The sequence below is a fragment of the Homo sapiens genome, chromosome 7, assembly GCF_000001405.40.
Source record: "Homo sapiens chromosome 7, GRCh38.p14 Primary Assembly".
NCBI classification, from domain to species: Eukaryota; Metazoa; Chordata; class Mammalia; order Primates; family Hominidae; genus Homo; species Homo sapiens.
In genome coordinates, this window is record NC_000007.14 from 49,095,468 (window position 1) to 49,104,193 (window position 8,726).

The 8,726-nt window shown below is 39.1% G+C and overlaps 2 annotated features.

The window, feature by feature from the left end:
* Positions 5,336–5,877: an enhancer, noted in NCBI's record as "OCT4-NANOG-H3K27ac hESC enhancer chr7:49140399-49140940 (GRCh37/hg19 assembly coordinates)". NCBI's record gives its function as "activates a minimal SCP1, AML or CMV promoter by ChIP-STARR-seq in naive and primed H9 embryonic stem cells {active_cell/tissue: H9 hESC(naive and primed)}" and the evidence as "EXISTENCE:reporter gene assay evidence [ECO:0000049][PMID:30033119]".
* Positions 5,878–6,418: an enhancer, noted in NCBI's record as "OCT4-NANOG-H3K27ac hESC enhancer chr7:49140941-49141481 (GRCh37/hg19 assembly coordinates)". NCBI's record gives its function as "activates a minimal SCP1, AML or CMV promoter by ChIP-STARR-seq in primed H9 embryonic stem cells {active_cell/tissue: H9 hESC(primed)}" and the evidence as "EXISTENCE:reporter gene assay evidence [ECO:0000049][PMID:30033119]".

Here is an 8,726-nt window from a genome sequence, read left to right on the forward strand (position 1 = left end):
TCTCTATGACCTATTGTAATTCTTCTGTAAAGCAAACACTATCTTGGATTAAGAGTATTTTATAGGCAAAGGCAGGGCAAGATGGCAGAATAGAAAGCTTCACTAATGACTCCTCCCCCCACTGGCAAGAACACAAATATAACAACTATCTACACAAGGAAAGCACCTTCATAAGAACCAAAAATGAGGTGGGCACTCGCAGTACCTGATTTTAACTTCGTATCTCTGATAGAGGCACTAAAGAGGTATAAAAAAGTCTTGAATTGCTGATGCCACCGCTCCTCTACCCCTGGGCAACAGCTGCAGTGGTGTGGAGTGCATTTCTCAGCAGTCGGGGGAGGGAGGGCACAGAAACTGTGAGACATTAAACTCAGTGCTGTCTTGTTAGAATAGAAAGGAAAGTAGGACAAAACTCCGCTGCTGCCCACCCGTGGAGGGAGCATTTAAACCAGCCCTAGCCAGGGCACAATCCCAGATACCAGTGTTCTGAACTTGAGTTCCTGTAAAACTCACCACCAAGGGCTAAAGTGAGGGGGTCTCTAAGTAAACTTGAAAGACGGTTTAGGCCACAAAAACTGCAACTCTTAGATGAGTCCTAGTGCTGAACTGGGCCCAACAACAGTGAACTGGAGGGGCACGTGATCTACTGAGACAACAGCTGGGGAGACTAAGGGAGTGCTGGCAACACCCCTCCACTAACCCTAGGCTCCTTCCTTCCCCTTGAGGAGAGGAGAGGGAAGAGTGTGGAAGACTATCTTGCATCTTGGATACCAGCTGTCAGCCACAGCAGGGTAGTCCACCGGTCAGAATTGCAAGGCCTGTGCTCTAGGCTCTAGCTCCCAGGTGACATTTCTAGACACTCCCTGGGCCAGAAGAGAATCCACTGCCTTGAAGGGAAGGAATCAGTCCTGGCAGTACTCATCACCTGCTAATTGAAGAGCCCTTGGTCCCTGAATAACCAGCAGTGATACCCAGGTACTAACTACATCAAGGGCCTTGGGTGAGACTTACTAGTGAGGTAGAGAAACAGGTGGGCTCTTGAAGTCCCTGATTCCAGCATTTCTGGACCTGCCCTGTGCCAACGGGTTGCTCACTGCCCTAAAGGTCGAGTCTCAAGCCAGACAGCATTCATAGAAAACTGACTTAAGAGATCTTGGGCCTTAAGGGAAAATTGACGGTAGCCTGGCAATACTTCCCATGGACCTGTGATGGTGGCCATGAGATAAGGCCCCTCTGCCTTTGCAAAGGAGAGAAAAGAGTTGGAAGGGCTGCATCTTGTGGTTTGAGTGCCAGCCCAGCTGCAACACCAGTTACATTTCTAAGGTATTTTACTCTAGTTCCTGAATCCTTATTGGCACTTCTGGACCCACCTGGGGACCAGAGGAACTCGCCACCCTGAAGGGAAGGACACAGGCTTGGGTGGCTTTGCCACCTGCTGATTAGAGAGCCCCAGGTCCCTGATTGAACACAGGCAGTAGACAGGGAATAGCTATAGCAGGCCATGGGTGGGACCTAGAGCTATACTGGCTTCAATTCTGACCCAGTACAGTCCTAATGGTGGTAGCCACAGGGGTGCTTGTGTTACTTTACCTCCAGTTTCAGGTGGCACAGGACAGAGAGAGAGAGAGACTCCCTTTCTTTGGAAGAAAGTAAGAAAAGAGAACAAGAGTCTTCTCCTTGTAATCCAGAGAATTCTCCCGGATCTTGTCCAAGATTACAGGGCAGTACCTCTGTGAATCTATAAGAAGCACACATTTCTGGCTTTGAGATGCCCCCTAAAGAAAATACAGCTTAGATCACAACACTCAAGTCCTTTCAAATATCTAGAAAGCCTTCCAAGACACAACGGGGGTACAGGCATTGGGTAAATGTTCCCATTCCCAGTGGGAGAAATTGGCCAAAACAAAAGGGTTGCAGGCCCCATGCAAGTCCAAAACATGGCAGGGCACTCATTAAATTTTAAAGCTCCAAAATATGTCCTTTGACTCCATGTCTCCCACTCAGGGCATGCTGATGCAAGGGGTAGTGGACTAGTCCATTTTCACACTGCTATAAAGAACTACCCAAGACTGGGTAATTTATAAAGGAACAAGCACAGGCAACCAAAGCAAATATGGACAAATCATGTTAAGTCTTAAGCAGAGCATAAAGGTTTGGTTGGAACATTTGCCCCCAAACAATGTAGTAGAACATAAAAAAGCATTTTCTGGGAAGAAATTCAAGCCGGCTGCATCAGTAACAAGGAGCCGAATGTTAATAGCTAAAGAAATGGGGAAAATGTCTCCAAGGCATTTCAGAGATCTTCAGGGCAGCTTCTCCCATTACAGCCTGGAGGCCTAGGAAGGTAAAATGGTTCTGTGGGCAGGGCCCAAGCCCTGCTGCTCTGTGCAGCCTCGAGATATGGTGCCCTGCATTCCAGTTGCTCTAGCTTCAGCTATGGCTAAAAGGGGCCAACATAGAGCTCAGGCTTAAAAAGTTAAGTTAAAAAGCTTGGGCACAGCAGCCGGGTGCAGTGGCTCACGCCTGTAATCCCAGCACTTCGGGAGGCTGAGGCGGGTGGATCACGAGGTCAGGAGATCGAGACCACCCTGGCTAACATGGTGAAACCCCGTCTCTACTAAAAATACAAAAAATTAGCCGGGCATGGCAGCGGGCATGGTGCCTGTAGTCCCAGCTACTCGGGAGGCTGAAGCAGAGAATGGCGTGAACCCAGGAGGCAGGGTTTGCAGTGAGCAGAGATCTCGCCACTGCATTCCAGCCTGGGCAACAGAGTGAGACTTTGTCTCAAAAAAAAAAAAAAAAAAAAAAAAAGACTTGGGCACAGGAAAGAAAACAATCAACAGAGTGAAGAGACAACCCACAGAATGGGAGAAAATATTTTTAAACTACCCATCAGACAAATGATTAATAACCAGAATATGTAAGAAGTTCAAACAACCATAGGAAAAAAAAACTAATAATCTGATCAAAAATGGGCAAAAGATTTGAATAGAGATTTCTCAACAGAAAACATACAAATGGCAAACAGGCATATGAAAGGGTGATCCACATCATTTACCATCAGAGAAATGCAAATCAAAACTATAGTGACATATCTCACCCAAATTAAAATAGCTTATATCCAAATGATAAATGCTGGCAAAGATGTGCAGAAATGGTAACCCTCCTACACCATTCAGGGAAATGTAAATTTGTACAACCACTATGAAGAACAGTTGGGAACTTCTTCTGAAAACTAAAAGCTACCATATCATTCAGCAATCCCACTGCTGGGTACACACCCAAAGGAAAGGAAATCAGTATACTGAAGAGATAGTTGCATAGCCCAACAGGTGACTATAATCAATAATAATTTAATTGCACATTTTTAGATAACTAAGAGTATAATTGGATTGTTTATAACACAAAAAAAATAAGTGCTTAAGGGAATGGATACCCCGTTTTCCACGATGTGATAATTATGCACTTCATGCCTATATCAAAACATCTCAAGTACTCCATAAATATATACAACTACAATGTAAGAAAAGTTAAAAATAAACAAGAATGTATTATCATAGTTACAAAAGAGATTCTTATGGTGCACAAGGGAAGAGATTAAACATAGCCTGAGAGGTAAACTGAACTTGTAAACAAAAGTTATTGAAAACACAATGGCCACAATGGCCAGTTGTCCATTTGCCATTTCTGATTGTTTTTGAAAGCATGCCAATTTCACAATCTTTTCTTGTACTTTAAGGCTCAGTCAGTGACAGGCAGAAGATGTTAACATGGATCGAGACTTGAAATGTCTCAGACCCAAATCCAAACTTCTGGGGAGACATACTTGTTGAGAATTGTGGATCTCTTCATTATGACCACCGTGCTCATGGATGCATTGCAAAAGCCATGGAGTAGCTGAGCAGAGAGGCTAGAAAACATCCACAAGACTGGCCGTTCTGTACTTTGGGTCACCGCATGACTTATCTGCTAGGTATTCCCTGTGGTGGACATTGTCAAGGGACACTCAGAGCCACACCTTTTCCACCATATGGCCATCCATGCTTCTTCTATAGATCTCTTGCCACCAATCTTCTGATCTTGCCCTTTCTATACCCCTGGCCAACCAGCCAAACAATTCACTGCTGTACCAATGTGTTTGCATGCTGCAGGTCACCTAACATTCCAGACAGAGTAGACACCAAGTGTATTGTCCCCTAGATCTCCCTTTTGAGAAAATTTTATTTTACCACTTCATTTAGGGCCATCCCTTAGTCTCTATCAGTTAACTATAAAGCCACTAAAGTGGGTGAACAAGAGGCAGTGACTCCAGTTCTCTCTAGGTGGCGTAGGAGTCTGGTATACCTATTTATTTAATTTACTTATGTCTTTTGAACCAGCTCAAGCCTAGAGCCTGACACTGTATTTCATTATACAGCAGATTGCTATTGAACCTGTCTAAAGTATGATTCAGAAGTTTCAAAAACACACAGCTCATGATGGACAAGACAGTTCAGGGAAAAGTAACTTTTTTTTTCCATCAGAAGCCTAATTTCTACTAGGTGTCAGTGACACACAAGGAGCTGATTTTCAAGCAGAGCATAACCTTGCACCAGAACTCGAGAAGTATGTGCCGGTCTCACTGGGGCTTGTCAGAGACTCACTTAACATCATTTCCTACAACATCGTTAGCATTTTCCGATCTTCTGGCCATTAGGCTCAAGTGGCAGAGCAACTTGCTCTATAGCCTAGGTATGCTGCAGAGCATTCTCTTGCACTGGACCCACTTGAGGCTGAAAGCATCTCTCAGTGAATAGGTTGCCTCAATATTTCCAAATGTTATGCTGCTTCCATAACTTTTTGAAGCCTGATAAACACCACTATCTTTCTTACTGCAAGCTGCAACAACCTGTTCTTTACCTGAACAGGGGTTACACTGGCAATGCAGGAGAGGACTAGATTCCAAACACCTGACTGATTCTCAGGTGTATCAATCTTTGAGTCATGTAGAGTACATATCTGCTACTCCTAGTTCACCAATTAGCTGGACTTTATTATAATATGGACTTATGTGATACTTTTTCAAAGAAAAAATACACAAAGTCTCTGTAGCTTCTACAATAACAGGAGATCAGGAGTTAACACTGCTCTATAGCAAGATGGTGAAGGTGAATTACTCTCCTTGCCATTCAAGGATGAACTACTGTTTATTTCCTCTGATTGGTATCAAGCAGAAAGTAGGTATATGTACAACAAAATTAAAAAAAAAAACTCTAACATACAGCCATGTAGTTTTGTGAATCAGTAGTTAAATCCTGTTAGACTTATTATTTGTGTTCTATTGTAGGACTTTGCTCCAATGCTTTTATCCTTTCAGTTGTCAGACATTTGAGTTCTTTCTAGTTTGAGGGTATTAAGAATAAAGCCACTGTGAAGTTTCATGTACAATTATTTTTGTGAACATATGTTTTCCCTTTTTTGGGGTAGGGGTGGAATTGCTTATTCTTATGTAAAGATATGTTTAACTTTGTAAGAAATTTCTAAATTGTTCTTTTAAGTGGATGTATCATTTTATATATTCACCAGTAATATATGAGTTCTATTTGCTCCACATCCTCATCAAAATTGTTATTGTCAGTGTCAGGCCTCTGAGCCCAAGCTAAGCCATCATATACCCTGTGACATGCACTTACACATCCAGATGGCCGGTTCCTGCCTTAACTGATGACATTCCACCACAAAAGAAGTGAAAATGGCCTGTTCCTGCCTTAACTGATGACATTGTCTTGTGAAATTCCTTCTTCTGGCTCATCCTGGCTCAAAAGCTCCCCTACTGAGCACCTTGTGACCCCCACTCTGCCCGCCAGAGAACAACCCCCCTTTGACTGTAATTTTCCTTTACCTACCCAAATCTTATAAAACGGCTCCACCCCTATCTCCCTTCGCTGACTCTCTTTTCGGACTCAGCCAGCCTGCACCCAGGTGATTAAAAGCTTTATTGCTCACACAAAGCCTGTTTGGTGGTCTCTTCACACGGACGCACATGAAAGTCAGCCTTTTAAAATTTTACCACATCTCATGAATATGCACAGGCAGAACATTGTGAGTTAATTCAATCTGACGACCAATGACAGTGAGCATTTTTCTATGTGTTTATTGGCCATTTATATATCTTCCTTTCTAAAGTGTCCCTGTAAATTTTTGCCCCTCTATTTGTGAGTACATTATTTGTCTTATTATTATTTAATTATAACTTTATTTATTCTGGATGCAAGTTCTTTGTCAGATGCTATGTGTTACAAGTATTTTTTTCCAATCTGTACTTGTACTTCATATTTTCTTTTGTTTTTTAGAAAGCAGATTTTTTTTTTATTTTAGTGAAGTCCAATTTACCAATTTTCCTTTAGAGTCAATATATTTTGTCTTTTCTAAAAAAAAATCTTTGCCAATCCCAAGCTTTTAATTGGTTTTTAATCTCATATCATGATCAAAAGAAGAGATCTGGAGATCGAAGAACTATTTTTTGAGAGATTTTTAGGAAGTTATTCAAAGTCGTATAATAAGATTCTTTAAAACAAATTCTTTTCACCTGATGCTTTCACTAGTAATGGTGAACAAAACAGGGCTTTTCTTTATTTCCTATATAGGCTTTTATACTACAATATCTACATACCTAAGAACCTGCAAATAGTCAAAAGTCAACATATCAAAACAACTATTTTATTAGAAAAGTAATGATGTAGTAAACAAGGTGTGTCACACTTAAAAGAATAAGTTAAATTTTCCATAAGATATTCAAATGTAAGTGTTAATTCAAAAATAGATTTTAATATAGTTGTATATCTTAATTTCAACCTGGAGCTACACATTCGTTAATAAAAATTGCTTTCAATAATCTTTTTTTTCTCTCTGACACTTTTCCTGGTCTTGTAATTTTCTCACATCACAATACATAATAGAGAATATAAACAATAAACAATAAAACACAGTGTTTCATTTTAGAAGAGAGTTCAAATAGAGGAGTCGACTAGCAAAGAGATCTGAGTATTTCTACATATTTTATAAAAGCTTTTTCTTATTCCTGAGGGTAGAAAGAAGAGCTTTCTTCACATTACCATAGAACCAGTAATGGTATGCACCCAGTGAGTTGTGGGTGTGATTCAATTCCTTTGAAAAGATTCCTGCTTTAAAAGAAATGCCTGCATTTGAAAATGCAGGTTACAATGCCACTTATAATGGCTGCAATGTTATTCTGAATGCTTTTCTTCAATTTAATCTTAAAATAGTTTTGTGGAATTATTTTTTTCTCTAAAAAACTTTCACATATATGTGATAAAAAAAGCAGCCCCTTCACCCTCTACTTTCTGCTTGAGAATTTCTTCACTTTTTTCCCCCCTAAAGAAGGTATGGTTAGTTCTATGCCTCAAGACTGTGTCAGATAGAATCTCAACAAATATAGAAGAAAACTGCCTGAGAAATATACCCGTAATTAATATGGTAACAAGGCTATATGTTTCCGTGAGTCTTCAAAATCTTTTAATTATGAAATTAGTTTAATCACTATTGTATTTTAGAAACATGTTACTATTATAGGTATGTTGAGAATCAATGGGAAAAAATACAGTTTATATGAATATAATATAAGATGAAATCAATAGTGTCAGATGAACTATATTAAAGTAAATTTAAACCCAAATTTTACTTCAAAGTTATCTAAACTTGTTTGGCTATTGCTTAAGTAATTAAAGAAAAACTGTGTATACATTGAGCATGAAATATGATGTATTAGCACAAAGTCCACCAAATAGAAGATGCCTAACAAACCTTTATTGTTGATCAATTTGTAGCACTATCATAACTTGATGCCTTTCTTTCTGACAATCACAAAGATAATTTTAGGTAATATCGTATTACAGGATTTAAGGCTGTGAGCATTCTCCTAGTGACAGACTTCTCCAGAAAGTCTACAACTAACTAATGAAATTATGAAGGTTAATGTTAAGGAAAAAATCCACTTTGCAAGAGCTGGAACACAAATTTCTAATGCAATAAAATGTTGAGTGCCATTTTAAGAAACAATTCTCAGACTACAAATGCACTGCTCAAAGTATGCCAAATACCTGCCGCTTAGCTCAAAAACTGAGACTCTTAACATAAAATTTGGGACCTAGTTTTTGATACAATTTTTAATACATAGTAGGATTCATATTTTACTTATTTACTTGGATCAGTGCAATTAATTATTCAACATTTCTTCATTTATACAATTATGAATGTTTATTAATTTTACTAATAAATATTTTATTTTCTGTTTATATCCAAATGTCTGATTGCAATTAGTTTTTAAGCTAAGCTTTCTGATGGTTCCATGATTTTACCTCAAATTAATGAATGTAATGCTGGTTTTCTGGAGACATCTTTGATCCACACATTTCAGATAAAATACTACTTTGTCCAGCACTGAAAGTATATAAATATTATCTTCAAAAACCCAAATAGATTAAATATATTTTCTGACAGAATGCAATGCACAAAGTGTCAAATAATTATTGGTCATATTAATGAGCAAGACATAATCCTATTCAATCTAGAGAAGATAAAATATTTACTCCAAATGCTAACAACAAAGTTACATAAACTTTTAAGAATGCAACTCCTTGGAATACTTTTTCAGAAAATGCAAGTAGATATACTGGTAATGACAACAATAATTAACAATGCAATAATCATTAGTTTTATCCCTACTA